The sequence below is a fragment of the Homo sapiens genome, chromosome 6 (assembly GCF_000001405.40).
Source record: "Homo sapiens chromosome 6, GRCh38.p14 Primary Assembly".
Taxonomy (NCBI): domain Eukaryota; kingdom Metazoa; phylum Chordata; class Mammalia; order Primates; family Hominidae; genus Homo; species Homo sapiens.
In genome coordinates, this window is record NC_000006.12 from 7848660 (window position 1) to 7875872 (window position 27213).

At 45.2% G+C, this 27213-nt stretch overlaps 1 protein-coding gene across 1 annotated transcript in view; it reads left to right on the plus strand.

Annotated features, from left to right (window-relative positions):
- BMP6 (bone morphogenetic protein 6) overlaps nucleotides 1-27213 on the plus strand; it is a 155630-nt gene that overhangs the window by 122561 nt on the left and 5856 nt on the right. Inside the window, exons 3-4 of the mRNA NM_001718.6 lie at nucleotides 12792-12940; nucleotides 13642-13839. Of these exons, the coding sequence (NP_001709.1) occupies nucleotides 12792-12940; nucleotides 13642-13839 (347 nt within the window). The remainder of the gene's footprint in view (nucleotides 1-12791; nucleotides 12941-13641; nucleotides 13840-27213) is intronic.

Here is a 27213-nt window from a genome sequence, read left to right on the forward strand (position 1 = left end):
GTGCATTGGCTTTTCTGGGCAGTGGGCAAGAAGAACCCATCAGGCTGCAACAATAGTCTGCATCATTAAGCTTGAGTAACACATGATGCCTTTGCGCTTTATTTATTTTTAGAAGTTTACTTCATGGTATTGCATGGTGTTTAAAAGATGACTTTGGTATTAAAATTTGGTGTTATAAATCATTGTGTCCTTGTGATGATGCAGGTAAAAAAAATTGCATTCATATAGTAGTTACAGTTTGGAAAAGGCCTTCTCTTATATTTTCTCATTAGGGTTTTACCATGACCTTATCAGATAGACAGGGCAGGCATGTTATCCTTGAGAGAACAAAGTATGGCACATACGAATTTTGCCAAGACCAAATAATTCCTAAACTATTGTCTGCTATGCTTCCTAAAAGTCACTTCAATTATGTGGGTACAGTCTCAAGATAAAGACGAAGTACCGGAAAGAGGTAAGCAACCTCCTTATGACACATCCTCACACCTCCATGTCCTTAGGTTTGAAGCAGACACCCCAAGAATGCTTCTGTTTGAATGGCAAATGTTTTCATAGGTAGTGAAGATCTGTGTCTGTTAGAATTCAGACTCTGGTACTTTGATGTCTAAGGCCTTCCTACAGAAAACCTTTGCAAAACTTTGTTGATCTCTTGACCAACCACTGATCTATTAACAGTTTTTCTAGAGGAGGGGAATAGAAGGGAAGAAAGATTGGAATAAATTTACACAAAAGTATTATATATTTGTCAGTTTACTTCTTTACTATTTTTTCTGTATTGCATGCATACTAAGCTGACTTCACACCGGGAGTATAGACTGCTCTGAATGACTTCTGACCTTTCATAGTCACCTATGGTAGCATCATGAGTACATGCTTTTCACAACATGCACTCATGATCTTTGTTCTGTAGCACCTTTATATGAATAGTGACATTTTGAGGTCTTTAGAGAATATCATTTTCTTCTACGTTTTTTACTTGGTTAAAGGCATACTTTTACTGTTGTAATTGAATTTTGTATACCTAGAAGTCAAAGAGCATCTCTTGAAAGCCAACCAGAAATTTTAACAGACACGTTCAATATCTGAACCGTGGTCCTGTTTGGTCCATGAAGATCGGCCACACTTGTCTCTGCTAGTTTTGAAATTCCGTGTTCTGCTCTCTGTGTTTTGGCATTTGCATTGCTCGGCAGTGATGGTCTATATTCTGTGTGTATGATAACTTTTCTTCTCCATGTTCTATCATGGTACAATCTTTTGGGAGACATTTGAAGAATTACCAAATTTAAAATTTATGTTCCATTTAAGCAATATCCCAGGTTACTCCTCTGTTTAGAAATAGGCAAGGATGTTTTTTGTCATTTGATTTTAGAGTTTGGTTTATATATTCATCGTAACTTCAGAATCCTTAGGCTTTGAAGAAATGCATCTTAAAATCAAGGAGGGAAATGCTGCTCTGTAGTTGGTTTCCATGTTTTTGTTTTTTGTTTGTTTGTTCGTTTTTGAGGCAGAGTCTCGCTCTGTTGCCCATGCTGGAGTGCAGTGGTGCGATCTCGGCTCACTGCAAGCTCCACCTCCTGGGTTCAAGCCATTCTCTTGCCTCAGCCTCCCGAGTAGCTGGGACTACAGGCGCCCGCCACCATGCCTGGCTAATTTTGGTTTTCATGTTTTTAATACATTTTTATTGAAGTTAAAGCTACATATAAAATTTACCATCTTTACTATTTTTAAGTGTGTAGTTCAGTGGTAATAAACATATATTCTTTTCTTCCCCCTTCATCCCTCCCTCCTTACTAAAACAGGAAGATTTCCTCAGGCAAGCACAGGAGGCTGCTGTTGGAGTCTCCAGGAACAATCCCAGACTGAACTATTGCTTTAATTTTTGACAGAATTCACAAAATCTTACCTATTTTACAGACAGAATATAATTGTCCCAGGAGAGAAAAGGGTAAAAACACATTTTCCAGAATTTTTAGTTTGATACTGCACTCTGAACCATTCACAGAGATCGGGAACACAGGAATAAGCAGAGTTCAGATTTGCACGTTTGAGTCATGGTATGAGTACCCGAGACGATGTGAGATGTAGAAGTTTTGAGCTCAGCAGAATGAGCTAAACTACAGTAGGAGATTGTTGAGACCACAGGGCGAACCACTGAAGTAGGTCACATAGACCAGATGTGTAAGAATAGAAAACCTAATTGACCCTGTACCATTTATTGAAAATACTATCTTTTTCTCATGTGCTTTAGTGGCAACTTTCTCATAAATTAGGTGACTATATATGTGTGAGTCCATTTTTTGGATCTTCTGTTCCCTGGGTTAATTTTTCTCTTCTTGCACCAATACTCCACTGTCTTAATTCCTTCAGTTTTATAATAAGGCTTGATATCTGATGTGTAACCTCAAAATTGTTCTTGAGACTTTCTTGGCTATTAATGGCCCTTCACATTCCCATGTAAATTTTAAAATCAGTTTGTTTCCACAAAAAATAAAAACAAACTTGCTGGGCTTCTGATTGGAATTGCACTAAATCTAGAGATCAATTTGGGAAGGATTTACATCTCATCGATAATGAGGATTTCAGTTCAAGAAAGTGGTATTTACTTAGGCCTTCTTTAATAACTCTCAGTAATATAGTTTTTTGTATGTCTTGAACATTTTTATTAGATTAATTTTAGGTATTGAAGTTTCTGATGCTGTTGTAAATGGTATTAATAGTTTTTTAAAAATTCAGTGCCAAATTGGTTTTTGCTCACATATAGCATACCATTGATTTTAATTTGTATCCAGCAACCTTGCAAATTTACATGTTAATTCGAATAGTTTTTCTGCATGGCCTTTTGGAATTTCTGTGAATATAATCTATAAATACTAGTTTTATTTTTTCCTTTTCAATTCTATTTTTTATTTCTCTTTTTCTTGCTTTATTGTGCTGGCTGGGACGTCCAGTACAATGTTGAAATTGTTCAGATTTCCATCAGATTTTTAAATCTCAGGTAAAGATTTAATATTTCATCATTAAGAATGATGATTGCTCTAAATATTTTTGTAGATAACTCTTCAGTAGATAAAGGAAATTCTTCTCTATTTCTAGTATTCTAAGAGTTTTTTAACATTAGGAATGGGCATGGATTTATCAAATGTTTTTTTTTAATTTTGGGACAATCATATAATTTTTCTCCTTTATAATGTTATGTGTCTGCCATATTAAATGACTTTTAAATGTTAAACTAACCTCATATCCCTGGAACAAGTTCAACTTGTGCTTTATTATTCTTTTTATATAAGGCTGGATTCAAAGACCATATCTGATAACTTTGCTATCTGGATCACCTATGGGTCTATTTCCACTACCTGTTTGTTCCCTTGATTTTTCCTTGTTTGGTTTTATTTCCTGGCAAGACTGCTAATTTTCTATTTATGAAATTCTGGACATTAAGAAAAAAGTTCTAGATACTGTTATCTCCTTCCAGACTAGATTCAATGTTCTTCTGTAAGGCAGACAAAATATGGCCAAATCACCTTTTTCTTTTTGTTCCAGGTTAGGCAGGGTTTAAGGATGTATTAAGGCTTATCTGTTTATGGTTTTCCCTTTCTCCTAGAGTTTAGCCCTTTCAGCTAAAAGTCTAGGATGCTGGGCACAGCGGCTCACATCTATAAATTCAGCACTTTGAGAGGCCAAGGTGGGAGGATTGCCTGAGCCTAGGAGTTCAGGACTGGCCTGGGAAACATAAAGAGACCCTGTCTCTACAAAAATAAAAATTAAAAAATTAGCCAGGCTGGTGGCTCATGCCTTTAGTCCCAGCTCCTCAGGAGGCTGAGGTAGGAGGATTGCTTGAGCCTGGGAGGTTGAGGCTGCAGTGAGCTATGATTGCACCACTGCGCTCTATGCTGGGCAACAAAGCAAGAACTTGTCTCAAAAAATTTTTTTTAATTTTAAAAATCTTAGAAAAATAAAAAACCATAAAAGTCTGGAATGTTTACAAGAGCCCCTCTTCCTTGGTGGACTCTGTACTCGATTTTTTAGCTCCTCAGCACTGTGAGACTGCCAAACCCTCTGCTTTGCTTTTGAGCCTCTAAACAGTTTCTTTCTACTTGTTTTCTCAACTCCTCGTCCCATATAAACACAGCTTAATATCTGGTAAATACCTCAAGTGGAAATGTTGGAGTTCAAGGAGGCCAGGACTTGAAGAGCCAGAGTCCTAGAGGAAAGGGACTACACAGAAGTGACCCAGGCTTCTATGAGATCACTTTTATGAGCTCATTTCCATGCAGCCCCCTTTTTTTCTGGGACTTTAGCTCTTCTCACGCACTAGCTGCCTTGAATTTTGATTTTCTCCCCAGCTGGTGATACTGCGTAAAGCTCTAGGCCGCTACCAATTGCTGCTTGGTGTCTGTGCCTCGTACTAGAAATTATCAAATGCCCTGAAAGGAAAAGGCAGCAGCAAACACAAGGCTCACCTTAATGCATTTCCTTTCTCCCTGAGGTCTTGACCCATCTAGTGTTGCCTTGCTTGGTTGCTCTAAGAGAACTTCAAACAAGTGTGTTTTTTAGTTAATTCAGTATTTTTTTTAGTGGGAATGTTAGTTTGATACATCATGACCAGAAGCTTAAGTCTTTGAAGTATAGTGTGTTTTATCATTTTCATTTGGAAATCTTTTTAATGAATCCCGACAAATGTTGACATTTGATTCAGTAATGAAATGGCATAGTCCTGGAAACAAGATCGGGACCCAATGTTGATCCATTTCCAGGATGGAGGAGAGTGGTTTCTTTAGAAAAACATTACCTATGGACTGATTGCTCTATAAAATCTGTTGGATTTTCAGTGTTGCCTGCTGAAATGAAGACAAAAGTTCACCCTTTTTAGATACCTGAGACGGGTTTCTTTTTTGAAGAGAAGGGCAAATTTGAGAAAGCCAGGATGGGAGAACACTATATTATAGTTTGGGCAGAAGAAAACCAAAGCCTTTTATCCCTGTGCCCAGCCACACCTTTTTCTCTTTCTGTGTCTGGCTTTCACAGGCATGATCCTTAGGGACTCCTGAAATCTTACTGCTGACTTGATAATCTCTGGCTCCCTCTGTGTGGGCCTCGAGAGGCAAGCAGTGAGCTTTTCAGTATTTGTTCCTTTGCCCCTGAAAAAGGGATAATACAAGTGACCCATGGTTCAGGTTATGTAACTGGTTAGTTTCATCTTCCTAGTCAAGGGCATATGACTTATACCTAGAACGGTCTACTTGGGGAGAAAAAAAAAAAGACTGCTCAAGGAGCCATCAGACCTTCTTGTTCCTCAGCCTATGTTCTGTTCTTGGTAAGGCACAGGGTAGAAGAGAATGTTATGGAGAGGAATTAAAGTTATAAAGAATCATATACACTCAAAAGAATGCTAAAACATTTTATGCTGGCGGGAAGAGCCAGTGGGTGGTGGGCAGGAGACGCTGTTCTTTGGGAACTGCTTATCTACTTGGTAAACATGAAGAGAAAAGAAAATAGGTTTTTATTTCTGGAAACTATGCCTTATATATTTATCATTCATGCCTCGAAACAGATCGCTTTGGTTACGTGTGTCTCCATACTATGTTGTCCAGCTTTGTGGGAGGCAGGCCATGCCGGTGGTTAAGATTACTTTGTAACCCCATAAATAGGTACATCTACTATATATACCCATAAAAACTAAAAATAAAAAACTTTTTTAAAAGATTACTTTGTAAAACATCTTTTTAAAAAAAAAAAATCAATAGCACTTTTACTGTTTCATTTCCCCACCTTGGACGGGAATGTGGAAATGTAGGGTTGGTGATGAGAACTAAAACATGTAATATTTGCATGTCACATGTTTAAAAGGTAGCGGGGGCTGGGTGCAGTGGCTCACGCCTGTGATCCCAGCACTTGGCGAGGCCGGGGCAGGCGGGTCATTTGAGGTCGGAAGCTTAAGACCAGCCTGACCAACAGGGTGAACCCCCGTCTCTACTAAAATACAAAACTTAGTCAGGCGTGGTGGCGTGCACCTGTAATCTCAGCTACTCAGGAGGCTGAGGCAGGAGAATCACTTGAACCCAGGAGGCGGAGGTTGCAGTGAGCCAAGATGACGCACTCCAGCCTGGGTGACAGAGCAAGACTCTCTCTCAAAAATAAATAAACAGACAAACTAACTAAATAAAAATAACAGGTGACAAACTCCGCACTTGATCACTAGTGAAGATTAGAGTATACCCCAGTGTATGGAAGCATTGTTGTGTTTATGTGGCCAAAGAGAGCAGACTGGGTAGCCGTCAGTTTGTATAAAGTTTCCATCCTCTTTCCCCCTCTTACCCTGCCTTGGACATATAGAACCAAGACTTCTAATAACACTGATACTTTGGACTCGATCTCACCTGCAGTTCTGTTTATTAGCCTAATTCGATGACACCCTGAGGGTCATGCCCATCCATAAGACACACTGACTTGTGGAGCAGCCTACATTTGGTTTGCACTGTTTTAGGGAGAGGAGCAAGAAATCTTGAGAGCAGATAGCTTTCAACTCTAAGTTCACAAAACAGGCACAGGTAGTCCTGCTCATATTTCATGGAGAGGTAGTCTGGCTTTAGGTCCTTGGCTCACAAAGTATGGTTCTTAGACCAGCAGCATCAGCATCACGTGGGAACCTGTTAGAAATGCAGATTCTCAGGCCCCTCCCCAAGCTTACTGAGTCAGAAGCCCTAGGGGTGAGGGGCAGCAATCCATGTGTTAAGCCCCCGCAGGGGATTCTGATGCAGGCTACACTTGAGAACCACTGATAAAAGAGCACGTACAACACATGAGCCAAACTGCCTGGGTTCAAATTCCAGCTCTGCCCTTGCTGGCTGTGTGACCATGTGCAAGCCACTTAATCTCAATCTCTCTCTCTCTCTCTTTTTTTTTTTTTTTTTTTTTTTTTTTGAGATGAGTTGTGCTCTGTCGCTCAGGCTGGGGTGCAGTGGCACAATCTCAGCTCACTGCAACCTGCACCTCCCAGGCTCAAGAGATCCTCCCACCTCAGCCCATGCCCAGCTAAATTTTTTATTTTTTGTAGAGGCAGGGTTTTGCCATGTTGCCCAGTCTGGTCTCGAACCCCTGGGCTCAAGTGATCTACCTGCCTCAGCCTCCCACGGTGCTGGGATTACAGGTGTGAGCCACCATGCCCTGCCCACTTAATCTCTTTGTGCCTCAGTTTCTTCATCTATAAACCTGTAACAGCATTAATAGTATTTACCTCTTACGGTTGTTGTGAGGCATTAATATATGTGAGAGTACCTAGAACAGTCGCATAGTAAACACCATGTTAAGGTTTGCTATGTTAATATTCTAACAGCAAAGTGATTTATATTGGTTTTTTAAAGACGAAATAGCCCCTACAGAATCAAGGTGCATTTGATATTTGAAACGTCTCTTCATACCATGCTAGCCATTGGGTGAAAATTGAGTAATATCAAAGACTGTAAAAAAAAAAAAAAAAAAAAAAAATGCAAGTGTAGCCAAATAATGTTCATTCATCTTTGTTACTCAAATTTGTATGTGTACATGTATGCAGCAGTTTACTCTTTTTTGTAGTACTTTATTTTCAAATATATGATGCCTTTTCTATCTTTCTAATGGTAAAAGTTTAAACATAATCTATACTGTACTTTACGTAAGGAAAAAGTAAAAAGCATGAGCTTGACTCCTTAATTTTCTAAAATGAAAATGGATTTTTTTTACTTTCATTCTATTTGAAAAATGAATTTTTCTTATTGCAGAAAGTCAGTTCCTCCATGTATGAATGTTGTTTTGTATTTTAATGTAACATCAAGTCCAGACGTACAAATGCAAAGGAATGTGTTATGGAGAAATAAAGAACAAGACCACAGAATCACCTTACTGAGTATTTCATAAATCTGCTTACTTTGAATATATAAATGCCAGTTTATCAAGAGCATTTTTTTTTTTTTTTTTTTGAGACGGAGTCTCGCTCTGTCGCCCAGGCTGGAGTGCAGTGGCGGGATCTCGGCTCACTGCAAGCTCCGCCTCCCGGGTTCACGCCATTCTCCTGCCTCAGCCTCCCAAGTAGCTGGGACTACAGGCGCCCGCCACTACGCCCGGCTAATTTTTTGTATTTTTAGTAGAGATGGGGTTTCACCGTTTTAGCCGGGATGGTCTCGATCTCCTGACCTCGTGATCCGCCCGCCTCGGCCTCCCAAAGTGCTGGGATTACAGGCGTGAGCCACCGCGCCCGGCCTCAAGAGCATTTTTCTATCAAAATGGTTAGTAGTAAACACTGTTGTACTTTGACCCCGGCATTGTGACCTTGATGGGTGTGTGGTTTGTCAGGAAAGGGTCGAAGCCTGTCCACCAGGAGCTCAGGCACCTCCTGCCCTTGTCCGAGGGCAAAGGAGAGAAAGGCCTGCTGTATTTTGGCAATGGTGCTCTCTGTCAGCCCAGTGGTGTATCACTGATGTGAGCATGTGCCTTGGAGGCTGTGTGATGGGAGGGATATGCAGGGATAAATCTTGCCCACAAACACCAATTCTACTAGTCTTTATGAGTGGCTTTCTGATTCATCAACTCTAAAGCCAGGGTGAATTTTTGAAATTTTCCAGAAATATCTTACTAGCATATTAATTTGTTAAGAACCTCATTTGCCCAGGATGACCACAATGTGAGGAATATCACGCTCTGAGGTTGGAATAACATTGAGAAGAGTAACACTGTTACATCCTTGAAGATTGGAAGCGTATTCATCATGCAAATGTAGGGTCTGAGTTAGTTGAGAACAAAATAGTCAATAACTGCATTAAAAATTATCTTCCCTTGTTTCAAGATTTTCTTTCGTGGTTTGCCACCTTGAGAGTATGTCACCTCAATAGGAAGGTCCAAGTAATCTAGGCATGGTGATGATTTTGGCCAGTCTCTAGGATTCTTTATCAGTGACACACATTTTAGGTGAGAACATCTCTTCTGAACTCTGCCAAAGTGAGATTTAGAAGGGAAAGCTTATTTTTCACGTGGCAAAATCAGATGCATCTTCTTCGAGGCTACACTTTTACAGTCCGCAGACTAGGAAGGCCATGTATCCCTGAGGAAACATTAGTACATGTGGGTCAGACCAGAACCGTTTTAGTGATTTGTCATCAACAGCATCTCTTCAATATCTGAGTTGTTGGAAGCTTTGAGGGTGAGCCCATAAAGTTGTGTCTTAAAGCTTCATTCCTTTTTCAAGTTCCTCTCCCTCGTGGTGTGAACATATTAGTGATGTTCTCATGCTGGGCGCAGCATATTCTGCTTGGAAGGAGCAGAGCAAGATTGGGAGGGTCACTGGGGCTCCACCACTATGCCACCATCTACAGCTGACACCAGCCACCTCGGGCGCCTTCCTGCACGCACTCTCATACCTACCTGACCCTGATGGGGGAGGCCCACTGGTGATCGATTTATTTATTTATTTAGACAGGGTCTCACTCTGTCGTCCAGGCTGGAGTGCAGAGGTGCGATCATGGCTCACTGCAGCCTCCACTTCCCCGGACTCAGGTGATCCTCTCGCCTCAGCTTCCCGAGTAGTTGGGACTACAGGAGTACACTATCATGCCTGGCAAATTTTTGTATTTTTTTGTAGAGGTAGGGTTTCGCCATGTTTCCCAGGCTGGTCTCAAATTTCTGGCCTCCAGCAATCCTCCTGCCTCAGCCTCCCAAAGTTCTAGTATTACAGGCATGAGCCACCACACCCAGCCTTCCCAACCGGTGATTTTTAACCTGTGCCTGTCCTGTGTATCTTATTGTATTTTCTGTATCCAGCTGACTTTAGCATTTGTATGTGGTAGACTTTGGTCCCTTACTTTATTCTGAGCCCTTGGACAGTACTTTCAGCCTCTGCCCTGTCTGCTTCATGACTCTACTTTTTAGATATGTGACGGCTAAGGACCTGGGCCCTGATTAAATTCCATTTGCCCCACTTAACAGCCATGTGACCTTGAGACTCTCTCTGGGGGCTCAGCTGTAGAAGAGATGACATAGGTCCTGCCTTTTCTGGCTGTCCTGAGGAATAAAGGCTGTTGACACAGTCAATATTCGCTGTTCCTCTGTCCCACTTGGCCCAATCATCTTAAGTCCATGCTCTGCCTCACTTCCCTTCCAGAGGCCCCGAGCATCCTAGATCTAAACATTGAAGTCCAAGCCTTCCTCGCTGCCATAGGACCACATAGAGTTTTCATCTTTCAAGGCTCGGCCACTAGACTGCACTTGTTGACCTCACAAGCTTCTTAAGCAGTGAGAACAGTCAGTGTTCTCATTGTACGATTACAAAAGTGTGCCACAGAACAACGCAAATTCATGGGGCCCCAGAGTGACTCGGTAGCAGAGTCGGGATGGAAACTGGGCTCTCCACATCCACGAATCTGCACTGACCCCGTAGGTGCAATTGCTTCATGTCATGATGGGTAATCCTCATCTTCCGCCTTTGCCCCAAGTTTAACTTTTGATTCATGTTCTCCCTCTTTAATTCATTCCTTCTCTTTCTGCTCTTCTCTGTTTTCCTCCTCCTCCTTGGATGATGTGCGTCTGCCTCATTCCCCACATTCTCTTGGACGAGGCTGCCATTTTCTTTATCACAGACCCTGATCTTTAAAAATAAAAGCTCATTCTGCCAGCTGTGCTACCCTCACGCTTTGAACTGTATTTCTCTGTATCCTTATTATAAGTCTTTAAAATGTAGGTGCCTAATCTAGTCATCAGAGGTAACTCGGCATGTGCTCACGGGCCCCGCCTTGAGGGCAGCCTTACCCCCGAGATTCCCACTGGGTCTTGGTGCTAGAGAGTGCCAGCCACATTCTGCCCGTGACACCGATGTGTGCCGTGCTTCCTCTGGGACCGGGGCTACTTTCCCACAGTGCTGTCTGTACTGTCTGTGTTATTGCTGGATAAGGGTCTTCTGTGACCTTCCAGAACAGAATTGATGTCCTCTTACATCTGACTTCAAAGCCTTGGCCTTCCAGTCTCTGCTTGCTGTTTTCCATGGACACCCCCCGCACCCCCCGCAATCTCCCTGCTCACAGTTGTTACCTCAGTGATGGGGGGTAATTTGTCAACAGGGGATGTGACACATCCACATCAGAGAGAGCTTTCAACTGGGCAGGCCAGAATGTGGCCTCCCGCAGACTCTGTTAAGCAGCTGAGTAAATGACTTTTAACTGTGCCTACTGTTTATACTTGGGAAAGACGACAATAGAGTTCCCTTCTCACTTTAAGTGGCCATGGAGGCAGGAGAAACTGTTCGCTCCTCCTCTGAGAAATCTAACCATTTGAACTTGATGTTTCACTGGCCTCGTAAGTATTTGATGGATTAAAGATGAAGTTCATTCATTCATCACAGGTCGTCTTTGGTAATCATCTCAATGAGACAGTATGTTATTATGGAAAGCTCTTTGAATCCAAAACTAGGTCCTGTTTTTTCACTTGCTAGCTTGAGATCTTGACCACATATGACGGTAGCCTTGTGTCTGAGTCTCAGGTTCCCCAGCTGTAAGGTGGAGACCGTGACACTCTGCCTGGCTTTTAGGATTGGTGTAAGGACCAAACAAAGAGAAGTAGATGAAAGCACTTTGTAACTTATGTAAATGTATGCTTATCTTAAACTTAGTATTTAATTTTAGTCGTTTTTCTATCTCTGTAAGATATTGCAGCAAAATATTTCCAATACCAGGAGCTTTGAGTCTTTCCATGGCCAAAATATAGCCCTCCCTGTCATGGGAATCCCAGGCCATCTCATTCTAGTGGCCATGGGATGGATACGCAGATTCAGATTGTCCCTAAAGATGACCATCTCCTGGCACTGACCTATCATAAAATGCAGGTGAGCAGAAGGAGACCCTCACACCGTCATCCCACAGCCCCTTGATTATGTTAGTTCAAAACTGTGAAAAAGTCAGTCTTCCCTGAAGGGCCTAATGGAAGGAATGGATTCTCTGACTTTGCCTCAAAGAACCCCAGCTGTAGCTCACCACTGTGCTGGGATGAACTTTAAAATCACTCAGCATCCACCCTCGGCTACACAGTCCATATGGGGAAGGACTGGGTACTCACTGCAGACCATTCAGAGGCCTTAATTAAAATAGTAGATGATTACTTAGGCATGCGATGTGGCTTCTTGTTTCTCCTTATTTCATAGGAACAAACGAGAAGATTTTCAGTCCCAATTTCAAAACAAGAAAAAATGAGCAAAGCCCAGTTTATAAATGCTCATATGGATCCTGATTTTTATCTTTTCTCAATCCTGTTTCTCGCTGTCTCCTACTTTCCCTGTTTTTAGAGCTTATTAGCCATAAAGTAAGCTAGTCACTAATAGTATCATAAATAAATTTTTAAAACATAATAGAAGTATTAAAATGTAAATGCCACTGCACTACAGCCTAGGTGACAGAGTGAGACCCAGTCTCAAAAAAAAAAAAATAAAAAAGTTTTTTAAAAAATCATTTATTTGTAATTTATCCTAATTCGCAAAAAGATCTGTCATAAGCAGCACTAGCAAGATTTTTGGTAAAGTTGAGAGGGTCTGCCGTGTCGGGGTGAAAGCTGATTTCTATGAAGCGCCTTATCAGATGTGCCTGTCTCTCCTAATTGTGTCATGCCTGTGTCCTGGGTGGTACCACGCCTTTCAGGGCTATGGCAAGTCACTGTGCTTGTGCCTCACAGGTAGATGTGATCTGACTCGGGCATGTTTTATCCTGACGCTGAGACAGGAAAGAGTGGGAAGGAGCTTCAGGCAGTGCGCTATTTACCAGGCCATTTTTTCTTTCTTTCAGAGACTCTGACCTGTTTTTGTTGGACACCCGTGTAGTATGGGCCTCAGAAGAAGGCTGGCTGGAATTTGACATCACGGCCACTAGCAATCTGTGGGTTGTGACTCCACAGCATAACATGGGGCTTCAGCTGAGCGTGGTGACAAGGGATGGTAAGTTATTATCCGCAAGCCTCCAACGTCCAGCAAGTCATCAGTTTCACACATTTCCCTTACAGCAGTTGTGATAGAACCGTGGGCAACAGGCAAGTCCTCAGCTTCAGGATGGCCTCATTTACTGATCCCCCATGACTTGCATTGAGAACCAAAACCTTTCCCGGAGGCCTCCTAGACAGGAATTGAAAACAGGCTTGGGCAACTTGGAGACAGGAGAGTGGTAATGTTTCCAAGAGGATGGCGATGGGAGGACAGCTTTTCTAGGCAGAGGCAGGTTGCGGGGGATGCAGCGAGTAAGAGAGAGGCAGGCGCATCTGTTTAAATCCTGACGGATGAACAGGTTTGCAGTACCCACTCCTCCTGCAGCATCAGAGCCAGCAGCTTGAGGTCCCCACTGCTGATCTGTCCACCAGGGAGGGCAGGGTAACTGCAGATTCATAATCTAGCAGAAACAGGAGAGCCCAGGAGTTCACGCCACTCCTTCATGTGATTCTGAAACTTTGAAAGGAGTGCTTTGATTCTGCCAAAAGATGCCATCCCATGGGTGCCAGGCAAGGTTTGGGGATACATGATCTTCTTCTTCACACTCATTCTTAAGGATTAGCACTTAGGAAACTAGGAAGTATCCCTTAACTGTTGTAGCTACAGGAACAAGTTTCTGTGGAATAAAGAGATGCATGCTTTGATTTGCATTAAAGGAGTCCACGTCCACCCCCGAGCCGCAGGCCTGGTGGGCAGAGACGGCCCTTACGACAAGCAGCCCTTCATGGTGGCTTTCTTCAAAGTGAGTGAGGTGCACGTGCGCACCACCAGGTCAGCCTCCAGCCGGCGCCGACAACAGAGTCGTAATCGCTCTACCCAGTCCCAGGACGTGGCGCGGGTCTCCAGTGCTTCAGGTGGGTTTGTGGGGAGCCTGTGTTTCCAGAAAGCCTTGTTGGCCTCAGTGAGAACAAAAGTTGTGTCCACAGTCTCAGATGTCGGGCAGCTTCTGCACAGCAAATCCAAAGGCAAATAGGTGTCATATGCATGATGGTACCTTGTACAGTCGCAGAACATCTGCGTGGGTTCTGAGGGCCCTCAGCCTGGAACACTTGTTACCTGAAGACTCAGGCTGCCCGCATCATGACTGCCTGTTGATCCAGACAAGCATCTTTCTGTTTGGTTACATTTCTCCAACTCTTTTTTAAATTCCCATCAAAACCCTGGGAGCACCTAGATTCTTTTTTCTAGTTGCGTTATGCTGGGGGGTTATGATGTGCAAGCGAACTTGGTACAGTTGTGTAATATGAACTTGTATTTGTCAGTGCTCTTGGCTGGAAGGGAAGGAAGGTCAACTCAGCCCTCTAGGATGGATTTCTTTGGCTCATTTAATGGAGAGGTTGAGGGTTTTTTTGTTGTTGTTGTTTGTTTTTGGGAGACAGAGTCTCCCTCTGTCGCCCAGGCTGGAGTGCAGTGGCACGGTCTCGGCTCACTGCAAGCTCCGCCTCCTGGGTTCATGCCATTCTTCTGCCTCAGCCTCCCGAGTAGCTGGGACTACAAGTGCCTGCCACCACGCCTGGCTAATTTTTTGTATTTTTAGTAAAGACAGGATTTCACCATGTTGACCAGGATGGTCTCGATCTCCTGACCTCGTGATCCACCCACCTTGGCCTCCCAAAGTGCTGGGATTACAGGCATGAGCCACTGCGCCTGGCCAGGGGTTCTGTCTTTAGGCATGGCTGGATCCATGGGCTCAGATGATAATCAGGAATCTCTCTCTTTTTCTGTTTTTCTATTTTTCTTTGTTGGTGGAATTCTTAGTAAAACTATCTCTATATGGTGGCCAGGAAGGCAACCAGTGGTTCCAGGATTTTTGTTACCCTTGGCAACCTCAACCTCAGACAGAGCCCTTCTTCAGCAGAAATCCAGGGCACGACTCCGGTTGGCTTGGCTGGGGTTGCGTCCTCCAACCTGAAGCACACTGCTGGGTGGGGAGTGCTCTGATTGGCCAGACCTGAACTGTGTGCTCACCCGGGAGCTAAGGAATAAGGTGAGTCCCATTCTGCTCAGAACAGACACATTCAAAGGGCAAGAGAGAGAAACCAGCTCTGCTACCTGAGTGTCAGCTGAGTGGTCCTTCAGAAGTGTTCTCCCTGGCAGGGTGCAGTGGCTCATGCCTATAATCCTCACACTATGGGAGGCTGAGGCGGGCGGATTACTTGAGGTTGGGAGTTCGAGACCAGCCTGGCCAACGTGGTGAAACCCCATCCCTACTAAAAATACAAAAAATTAGCTGGGTGTGGTGGCATGTGCCTGTAATCCCAGCTACTTGGGAGGCTGAAGCAGGAGAATCACTTGAACCCAGGAGGTGGAGGTTGCAGTGAGCCAAGATTAAGATTATGCCTGAGTGACAGAGCGAGACTCCATCGAAAAAAAAAAAAAAAAAGTTCTCCCCAGTGTGTTTTTAGGAAGTGGCATGGAAGTCCACCCATGGAAGCCCAGAGGAAGGGAGAGTGGATGTTCCCTCCCCACAGCCAGTCCCGTAGCTAGTTAGGATTGAATGGAAACCCAGACACTTCTGACTCTAATGCCAGTGCTTGCAAATTCTGGGGTCCTTTGGCTATTTAAATAGCTTGAGAATCAACCATAAAGGTGAAGATTGGCAGTGGGATTTGCAGCCAGAGAACTTGTTTCCCTGGTTGCTACCCTGTGATTTTGGACACATTTAATCTGTTTCAGCTTCCATTTACTCATCTGTAAGATGGGGATGATGAATGCCTTGCAGATTTGCTGGAATTAAATGAAAAGCATCAAAATCTGGCTCATAATAGCACTCAAAGATTATTTATATGCCATTGTAGGAAGTAGGTTCTCAGGGCATATGTTGGGATCCCTGGAAAACAAGTAAAATAATTCTGGAAGATGCATTAATTCTTCCAGGTAATTGTACAGAAATGTCATTTTTGGTGGCCAAACATGTTGGGAAGAGTTAATGCAACTTCCCAAAGTACCTATTTCTTCTTTGGGAAGCAGTGTCTCCATTTTGTGTTCCGACTTAAATCAACCATCTATTTTACCAGTAACTTGGATGTGGAGCTTGAGGATCCACCGCCCAGCGTGATGTGACATTTTGCTTCTTGTCATCCTGGTGTTTCTCGGAAGCATTGCTCACAGCATGGGTGTTCCTGTATTCACCACTAGAAACAGTCAGGGTTGGGGTTTTTGAAAAAGAGAAGAAATGCTTGCTTTCCTTTATTCACTTCAGAGGCAGCCTGCTGAACAGAGTTAATAATCTCAGTGTTTTCCTTCGGGCTATGATGATGAAGTCTGCCAATGGTAGGCTTCAATTTATTAATGGAAGTCTGCCAATGGTAGGCTTCAATTTATTAATGAACTGTGGTCAGTTTGGTGCTGGGACCTCAGACACAGAGGCATCTCTTGAAATGTTGATTGCTTTTTAAAATTAAAACTTCACTTGATTTTATTCAGTACCCCCCACCCAATGCACACACTAATGTTTTTAAATTGAGAAAAGATGTTGTGTCTGATTTTGATTTTAGCAATATCAACCAATTATTATTTTCCAAGTCCCTTTCAACTTTTTTCAATTTGATGAGTTTAAATTAAATATGGATATTCAAGTTGATCTAATTAGTAATAGGTGCAAATATCTCTGTTTTTCAGTGGTCTCCCCCCGCCCACCTCCCAAGCCAGTACTTCCAAATTTGCTTTGTCCCTTTCAGTAGTACAAAGGCAAAAGGGTTCATACGAAATCTCTCCGGTCTCACCTATTTAAAGGCCCCCAAGAAAGAATGACGATGAAGGATGCTCCCTCCTTCTCATTCTCTTCAAAGATCCTCTAAGTGATCTGGGAAATTGCTCATGTCTGGCCCACTGAAGCGCTTCTTTATATTTTTGGCTCTTTCTTCCTTATCTATTCTTCCATTAATGGGAGTGGACATGCTGAGGAAGAGATTCCCAGAAAAGATTTCCAGAGAGATGGCCTGCTACCTGGAGAAATGGCCTGTCTGGTGTTCCTCTCCCTCGGGGTCTCTGTGAGGCCAGATGTTGCTGGGCCTTCATGAACCAGGTAGACATTACAGTAACAGAAAAGTGGTGTACTCTGGCGTGACTGCAGGCAGACTTTCTGCTTGTAAATCTTTTGGAAGTTGGAAGGAAAAGATTGCATTGTCTCTGCTGCCCCCTTCTTCCATGGCGTGCTCCCAGGGAGTTGATAGTTCTCCACCAAAACAACCACCACCAGAAGCAGCCCACCAGGGATCGTCCTACATCTGGGTAAAGAAGTTAGCATTCATTCATCAAATTGCCTGTCATCAGGGTGAAACGTGGCAAGGAAATAAGAGGCTATTTTTGGAATTGTGCTGTCAGTGCCTGAGACGGCAAGACTAGTGCACAGCAGTGGAGAGGCCAGGAGCCCCACCACCCACCAAAATCTACTCAAACATTTGTACTTGGCTTTCAAGCTGGACTTTCCAAACATGTGCACTGGATAGTGGTTTGGATCGACGTCTCCCTGGATGGCTTTCACTTGCCCTTGCTTCTCTGCAGCTGGCTGCTCTAAATGAAGGCTGGATGTTGGTTGGCTCTGTTATACTTCTCCAGGGGCTTGGATAGCCTCTGCATGGTATCATTTATTGTTTTTACACATGTTTGACTAGTCCTGGTCCTAGCCGTCTTTGCCCCATTGGGGATTTTAACCAATCTACCAATTCTTTTTCAGCCTCCATTTCTTACCAGCCTGCTGCTCTTGCAACACCTGTCCTCAGGTTCTATAGCTCCAGTTTGGTGGTCTCCTTCTACTTGTTATCATTCACTCTCTTTTATGGTAGCTCTCACTTGGGGTTCACTATTTTATCTTCTGGGGGACTGTGATACCACTTGGCCAATCCATGACAAGGTCCATGAACAAATGGCCTTGAAGTTCCATTGGGTGATTCTAAATTTTCATTTGGCTAATTTTCCGGATCTTTCCAAGACCTCTTTTGAGAGGGTGTAGCTAAAGCAATTTCAGGTCAGCTGGTAAGTCTGAAGTCTGCTCTGCTGCTGCTGCTGTGAGGCAGAATTGGTCTTTGTTTTGATAGATGAGTTTGGAAACATTATCTGCACTTTAATGATCCATGTGAAATTGGAGTAGTCTCTTTCAGTCTTGATGTTTATGTTGTCACTACCCAGCTCTGCCAACCATCTATGACCCAGCAGCCTCTTGAGACACTGTCTGTCCTTTGGAATGAGTCTGCCATTGTATCAATGCCACCTATTAGCATTTCTTTTTTGTTTGTTTGTTTTTAAGACAGTTTCACTCTTGTTGGCCAGACTGGAGTGCAATGGTGCCATCTCAGCTCACTGCAACCTCCTCCTCCCGGGTTCAAGCGATTCTCCTGCCTCAGCCTCCCAAGTAGCTGGGATCACAGGCATGCACCACTACTCCTGGATAATTTTGTATTTTTTTAGTAGAGACGGAGTTTCACCATGTTGGTCAGGCTGGTCTCAAACTCCTGACCTCAAGTGATCCACTTGCCTCGGCCTCCCAAAGTGTTGGGATTACAGGTATGAGCCACCACATCTGGCCAGCATTTTGTAGAGTAAGTTCTCCTTCCCTCCTTTTCCCACCCCCAAACATGTATCTTTAAGGACCTTGGGGGAAATTGTGGCTCTAGTACATTCAGGGATACTCCTGACCTTCTTCTTGATAGTTTATATTTTCTGTCCTTTAAGCTTCCCGGTTGGGACTATTCAATAGGCTTTCAGCGTAAATTAACCAGGAGTCATCTCTTGCAAAACAGCTGTTTGAGTAGTTTATTATAACTGTGCAATCTTGTGCTATACATTTCAAGGAAATCCAGTCCAGACTGGGGGTCTCATTGTTACAGTGTCCTCACTACTTCACCATTGGCTTCCATGGATTGGGGATAGCCAGAGCTGACTGGGTCGGTCCACCATGGACATTCAAAGCTTGGGAAGAATAGACACAGGTCAAGACTGTGAACTAGCAGTTTCTAGTTCTCCAGGAAAGTTGGGAATTGTGATTTGTCATTGTGATCTTAAACTTTTAGGGCCTGCAGCTTGGCTTGCAGATGTCTTAAGTAGAGTTTGGTTCAGGGCTTCCTATATGAAATCAAACCTTAATTCTCCATAGACATGGAGGACAGTCATGGCAAATAGTGATCTAAAAGTTAGAATCACCAAAAAAAAGTTAGAATCAAAAGCTTCACTTCTATCATGCACAACTCTTGTTCGAGGATAATGGCTATCAAAGAGTGGAACAGACTGGAAAGTTCCCTTCTACCTCCTCCCAAGGTTCACTCCTTGCAAATGTGCAAATGGCAACAATTCTAAAAGGCAATAAGAAGAAGCTTATGCAGGTACCGTGAGATGCCTAAGTCATTCCCAATCATTGCCAACCCTGGGAGGGCACTGGGGCCAGGAGACTCAGTCTAGGAAGTGGCAGAGAGTATAGAAGGTGCTTAGAGCACAGAGGGTCTTAGAGCTAAGTTTTTAAAGGAAATCTTTGTCTATTTGCAGGACAGTTCCATATTCTTTTAGAATCAAGACAAAGGCTGAAAAGAGACCAAAGTCCCACCCAGATTAAATGGGGCCTTATGAGATCCTGAAATCTCCTGGAGCAACCAAAAAATAGGGCCTCACTGTTGCTTCTCAATGTTGACCATCCAAATTATAAACAAAATCTAGACTCTGATCAAACTGTCCACCCCCACCCCAGCCCTATCAACTGTTAGGAGATTATTGACACCAGAAATCAAAACCCCAGTGTGGTCCCTGGCCTCCCGTAGTGTCGGTGACACAAGGAGCTGGCACCTGCTGCGCGTTCTTCAATGGCTGTATTGATTCTGCTGGGCGAGTGGGAGCGAGAGGCTTGTTTTGGATAAGATGGGGCCGATAAGGCCCAGAGATATGGAAAGAGCGGCCAGGCCCATGAAGACAGAGGTGCCACTTTAACGACCTCTATGTGGCCCTCACCCTTGTCATTCTAGGAGAGAAGGGAAATTAAAGTAGTGAATTATTCCCTCTAAAAAACAAGTTTCCTTTGGGAAGAGTCTGTAGCCTGAGCTCAGGAAAGCTGGGAAATACATGTGGAGCATGCCGCTTTGTCCAGTCCCCTGCCATGCTGGTATTTTCTTGGCTCTGTGTGACCTGCTGAGCGGGGACACCCGGCTGAGCTGGCAGGGCCTGCGGGGTCAGCCCAGGGCAGCCGAGTGGCCCCTCTGCAGAAGCCCTGGTGAGGAGACGACTCCCTGCCCACCTCTCTCCCTCTCCCTCCCCACCTCTCTCCCTCTCCCTCCTTCTCACCTGCTTTCTGTGGTGTCCCTGACATTCTCTCTCCCCTGCCTTTGTTTCCCTTCTCCCTGTCTTGCCCTTTGTTTCGCTGTCCTCCTCTACTGAAGTTGCAAAGCACAGCAGGCAGGGTCACTGGGACCCAGGCTGGCTCTGGCTGCCGTGACTCAGGCGCACCCCCCCTGGGAGCCCACAGGCTTGCTGCAGCGCCCTAGCCCCGTCATACTCACAGCAGCAGCTGCGTGGTGGCCCTCCAGCCCCGCGGTGCAGCCTCCCCGCACAATGCCTGCCTGAGAGTCAGGATGGTGGCTGCGCCCTTCCCTTCTCCTCTGGGTCTCATACCTATGGGCCTCTCCTGGCCTCCAGTGCCAGGGAAGCCTGCCTGTCACTGGCCCATCATGGCATATAGGGATTGAGCTTCAGAGCTAACCAACAGTGGGCTCCTTTGCACTTCGCTGTGTGCGTGGCTCTTCAGGAGGGCCAGATAAAAAGGATGCTGGATGGAATTAACCCAGATGTTATGCTTAGTGTGGGGTATGACCCCTGCATTGGGGGTATAGGCAATGTATACAGTGCATGTGCCGCTGCCTGGGGACATGGCTTCTGTGAGGAAGTCCCAGCCCAGCTAGCCGCCTTCTGTTGGGGCCAAGGGTGCCCTGTCCTCACTGCACTGGATGAGAGAGCTATTCTGCAGTTTTCAGTTTGCCTTGGGACGATTAGGATGCCCTGCCCCGTCACTGTCACATGGGCCCCGGCAGCCTTCCCATTTGTTTTCTCCTGTAGATGGAATGTCTCCTCAGTCATCACAGGGGAGACCAGGACTTAAGGTCGGGGAGCAGAGGCTATCAGCAAGGAAGCTGATTGTCAGGTCCAAGGCCTAGCAACTGAGATGAGAACTCCCCACCAGAACTGAGCAGACTGTAGGAGCTCAGCAGAGCCTGTGTGGAACGTGCACCTGCAACAGGAGGAGCAAGGGCAGGAAGATGCTAGAGGACAGAGAAAGGGGATCAGCCAGAGGCGTGTGTGCTGGGAGCTGCAGCATGTACCCCTGATGGCCCCCAGGAAGGGAGCTATGGCCCCTCCACCACCACCCTCAGAACAGGACTCTCAGATGTGAAAGCTCAGTTGTGTCTCAAGGACAAGAAGACTCCATCACTGTGTCCTCCCTCCCATCCGCTGGACTCCAGAAAAATGCACCTCCATATGGCTCCTTTCAAGTTAGCCCCCAACCCCTCCCAGGTGTACTGGCCCCCAGGTAACATGGAGGAATGACAGATAATGAAAGACACACCTGGGGCTTGGGAGAGGGATTTCAGAGCCATGGCTGGACCTGATGCTTTATTCCGAGGTGAATTCTGGATTGGAACACCCCGGTCTCTTATGGTAGAAAATGGCAGGCACTTCCACATGGTCCCGCCATCGGGAATGGATGGGACACTTCTACCTGTTTCTCTACCACTGATTGCATCGTGCAGAAGGCCTAAATGAGATGCAAGCCTCCCTTTGGCAAAGTATTGGAAAAATGAAGGCAACGTATTGGAAACATAAAGGCTTCATAAAGACACGCTTTGGGCACCACAGCTGGGACCTCTCTGCCCAACTCTGTTCTCCTTCTGAGGGGGATGGTGCCTGTCTCTGCCACCTTCTTTTCCACTACAGATCATGGAGAGTCTTGCTGAAGAACCTTCCTTAGGGGAAACAGGCATGTCTGTCTTGGATCTTTTTTTTAAAAAACAACAACAACAACAAAAAAAAACGGGTCTCACTCTGTTGCCAGACTGGAGTGCAGTGGCACAATCTCAGCTCACTGCAACCTCTGCCTCCCGGGTTCAAGCAATTCTCCTGCCTCGGCCTCCCGAGTAGCTGGGACTACAGGCATGTGCCATCATGCCCCTCTAATTTTTTGTATTTTTAGTAGAGACAGGGTTTCACCATGTTGGTCAGGCTGGTCTCAAACTCCTGACCTCAAACAATCCACCTGCCTCAGCCTCCCAAAGTGCTGGGATTACAGGCGTGAGCCACCGCGCCCGGCCTGTCTTGGATCTTTAGAGTTCATCTCCATCCCCGAAGGGAGTTGTAGAAGCTTCCTGTATCATGGGCCCCACTTGCCTGTCCCACACTGTGAGAGGAAACCCATTTACATCTCATGTCCAAAGCCATTTTTTTCCTACAAATAGTTTTGTGTGTGTGTGTGTGTATTGAGGGGTTATAAAGGAAAGCAGAATATTTTATCATGGTTTTTGCTTCAGTGGCTTTAGGACAAATTAGAACTCAACTCTGGTGCTAGAAAAGAAAAATCTCCACTTAAAACCCATGTTCAAATATCTGTAATGTTCATTTGGAGAAGAGAGGAAGGATTTGGGCTTTTTAATACTAATTGTACCTGAAGGTTTCCCTGCGGAAGCAGTTTATTAAATGGGACTGAAAGCCGCGCTGCTAAAGGCAATTAACATCTGATACATTCTCAAAGCTCAGAAATCTTTGGTGAGAGGAATGTTTCTGCCTGTGTAAGAGCAGGCCAGGGAGTTACCTTCTGCTTATGGAAGGAATTCGTCCTGGGGGGGCTTTTATGATTGTTGGATTTTGTCATCTGTGTCACCTGATCACTCAACAGTTTTTTGCCCAAACCCACCTATGGCTGGGCCCTGCTTGTCCAAGTTGCCCTGGATGAGCACCTGGGGCCTTGTCTTGAGGGGGAAAATTGCCTCTGGGCGGCTGGTGCCCCTGCCCTTGAGGGGGACCAGATTTCACTGTGTATTCAACTTTGAAAAAGCCAGAGCCCTTGAAAATGTCTCTCAGGACCAATATTGGGCCTTGACTGCAGCTGTGTCTGGGGATGCTGGGGAGCCTTGGGGTCCCAAGACAGACTTTGTGTCTCAGCAGGGCAGTAGCGCTACCTGTGTGTGAGCCTCTTGTCTAGAGGGCAGCAGTTCCAATTCTGGTGTCACAGGCGCATGTGGACAGCCAGGGGCCTGATCTCAGTGGCTCTGACTCATGGGTCTGGGATTGAGCTGAGAACCCCGCACTTTAGAGAAACTCCCTGATGATCCCCAGTATTCGGCACAGGCCACCTACAAGTCACACACTGAGAGCTTCTGTCCTGGCGGCGGGGGTGGTGGGGGAGGCTCCTCTGTCTTGGGTCAGCTTCTCTGGTTTTTGGTTTGTCGCCTCTCTCTAGCTGTCTCACTTCCTTTCTCTGCCCTGCCCTTGACTGGTGAATCCACTGGGGCAAAGCTGTGTTACCTCTCTTTGTCCCACTGGAGTGACCATGTTCCTGTTGAATTGTCACCACATACATTTCCACTGGCCCTCTTCAGCCCATTCATCAAAACCAATACCAGGGGCAGTGGGAGTGAGGGGAAAGTTTTTTCTGTAATCTGTAATCTGTCAATCTGTTTAAAAAAAAAAAAAAAAGTGTGTCAGTATAATTCCATGCAGAACCCAGGGTACTGACCCTGAGTGGCAGACACAAGTATTCCAAGGAGCATCAACCTTCATAAATATTTATACGTTCTTTGCCAGCACTTAACATGGAATTATAAGGAAATTTAAGCATGGCCTGAGAGTATCTGTAGGAAGAAAAACAGGAGAGTTGAATTCCTCCTTTTCCTCTCTCTGGCCCTGATCCTTACTTAATGACAAAAATGCCAGTGTCTGGCGCTAAAAGAAATAGCTGTTCTTCCAGAGAAGGTTCTCTTTGTTGAGCATTGAGAGAGTCAAATCAACAGCAGGTTCACAGAAACCCAGAACTGCTGGTGAAGTTAGAAGCAAAGCCCTTTGACTATGTCATCTTGGTTCCATCCAGCAGAAAAAGAAACTGGAAATCCAGACATGAAGTGGTGGTCTCTGCCTGTGTTCTGCCAGCAATTCTTCAACACCAATTAAGTGTCTTGCAATTCAATCCAATTCTTTTTTTTTCTTTTTTTTTTTTTTTTGAGACAGGGTCTTGCTTTCTCGCCCAGGCTGGAGTATGGTGGCATAATCAGGGCTCATTGCAGCTTCAATCTCCAGGGATCAAGCAGTCCTCCCACCTTAGCCTCCCAAATAGCCGAGACCACAGGCACACACCACTATGTCCAGCTAATTTTATATCTTGTAGAGACAGGGTCTGTGTTGCCCAGGCTGATCTCAAACTCATGGGTTCAAACAGTCTTCCCACCTTAGCCTCCAATAGTGCTGGGATTACAGGCATGAGGCGCCACATCTGGCCTCAGTTCAATTCTGATGCCACCTGGAGTTAGCACAGGCCCAAGTGAAAGGGCAAGGTCCCCAAGGAGACTGCTGTCATTTCAGACACCAGGCACAAGTGAGGTCCACAGGGCAGCCATGCTTCTGTCTGTCTTGCCTACAAATTTGGGAGTTCACATTACCGCCCTTCATGTTTGATAATTTGCTGGAACAATTCACAGAACTCAAGAAAGTGCTATACTTACAATCATAGGTTTATTATAAGAGGTATGACTCAGGACCAGCCAAATGAAGAGACTCTTAGGCAAGGTCAAGGGGATAGGCATGGGTGGTTGGAGCTTCCACACCCTTTTGGGTGCACCGTCCTCTTGAAACATCAGTATGTTCACCAACCTGGAAGCTCCACTGAGCCTCAGTGTCTGGAGTTTTTATGTGGGGTTTAATTGCTCTGCACAATTGAATCATTGGTCACATGATTGAACTCCATCTCCAGCCCCCCAGAGGCCAGGCTAAGCCAAAGTTCCAACCCCCTAATCCTGTGCTTGGCTTTTTTGGTAACTAGCCCCCATCCTGAAGCTAATGAGGTCCTAGAGAGTGTGTGGGGTTCACCGTGTACAATCTAGGGCCTCAGGAGCATAACAAAGACACTCAGGAAAATCCAAGGGTTGTCAAAGCTTGGTGCCAGGAACTGGGGACAAAGACCAGAGATATATTTATTATTTTCACACTGCCCATGTCTGCTTGACCTGGGAAAGAAAGTTGTTTGTAGAAATCTTTGCTTTTTACATGACCAAATGATGCCAAGATGGTCTTCATGGAGATTTTGGTCCCTAGCACGAGACGGTATTTTGGAGGAAGCTTACTTCACAAGCAGAATGAGGTTGGATGGGGAAAATCCCAGGCTAAGACTGTAAGTTGTGTGATCATGCAGTTTATCATCTAATCTAACCCAGGACACCTTTAGGAGCGCAGGGCGTTAGGACCTTGGGGTCTTCAGGAGACTCCCCTGCTGCACCCAGCTGGCAGGAGAGGAAAGAGTGAGTGGAAGGCTGATGGGGTAGGGGGCAGGTGGTTAGGAGGGCCAGGCCTGGCAGCACCACACATCCCTTCTTCCCCACATTCATGGGCAGAATCCAGGCACATGGCCACAGCTAACTGCAGTGGGAAATGTCATCTGGCTGTGTGCTCAGGAGGTTGATAGAGGATGTGGGTTGCTAATAAACACATCACAGCCGCCACATGGTTGTTCCTGGAATAGGTGAAGCAGGCTGCTTCCTCAGGGCCTTCACATTGTCATTCCCACTCTAGGAAATTCTCTCACCCCAGATGGCCTCATGCCTCACTCCCAAGGCTCCTCTTTTGCTTAGAAGATACCTTAACAGAAAGACAAGGCCAGGCGAGGTGGCTCACGCCTGTAATCCCAGCACCTTGGGAGGCTAAAGCAGGAAGATCACTTGAGCCCAGGAGTTCAGGACCAGCCTAGGCAACACAGAGAAACACCATCTATACAAAGTATTTAAAGAATTGGCCAGGTGTGTGATGTACACCCAGCTACTCGGAAGGCTGAGGTGGGAGCATCACTTGAGCCCAGGAGTTGGAGGCTGCAGTGAGCCATGATCACACCACTGCACTCCAGCCTGGGCAATGGAGTGAGACCCTGTCTCAAAAATTTCTTAAAAACCCACAAAAACAAAAAAATCCAGACAAGCTTGTCAACGCTATGTGAGATAGCACACTTGCCACCCTGTACTCTCTATGCCCTAACTATTGAATAATAATTTAGCTAGTCCGGGTTTTTACTAGTCAGAATTTTCCAGAGAGACAGAATCAATAGGATATATGGAGATATATATATATATAGGAGGAGATTTATTATGGGAATTGACTCAGGCAATTACGGAGGCCAAGAAGTCACATGAGCTGCTGTCTGCAAGCTGGAGAACCAGGAAAGCTGGTGGTGTAATTCAGTCTTGAGTCCAAAGGCTTGAGAACCAGGTGAGCCAGTGGTGTAAGTCCTAGTTGGAAGTCAAAGCCCTGAGTACTGGGGAGGGCTGCTGGTATAAGTCCTGAAGTGCAAAGCCCTGGGAACTGGGAGCTCTGATGTCCCAGGGCAAGAGAAGACAATGACCCAGCTCGATAAAAGAGAATTTGCCCTTCCTCTGTCTTTTTGTTCTCTCTGGGCCCTGAACCGAGGAGATGATACCTATCCGTGTTGGTGAGGGCAGGTCTATTTTACTCAGTCTACTGACTCAAATACTTATTTCTTCCAGAAATACCTTCACAGATACACCCCAAAATAATGTCTTAACAGTTGCCAGACTCAGTAGCTTACACCTATAATCTCAGCACTTTGGGAGGCCAAGGCAGGAGGCTTGCTTGAGGCTAGGAGTTCAAGACCAGCCTCGGCAACATAGCAAGTCCCCATCTCTGCATTAAAAGTTAGCTTGTGGTGGCCCGTTCTTGTAGTCCCAGCTGCTTGGGAGGCTGAGTGGGAGGATTGCTTGAGCCCAGGAGGTCAAGTCTGCAGTGAGCCATGATTGTGCCACTGTGCTCCAGCTTGCGTGACAGAGCAAAACCCCATTGCAGAAAAAAAAGTTTTATCAGCTACTTGGGCATTCCATAGTCCAATCAAGTTGACACAAAATTAACTATCACAGTGCTCTAGATTGCATGCAGTAGAAGCAGACTGTAATGAGAGAGAAAAGCGTACCAGGGAACTTACCCAATCAACAAAAAGGCTGGAGACTTAATTCAGGAAATCAAGGCTCAGATCTAGTCATGGAACAATG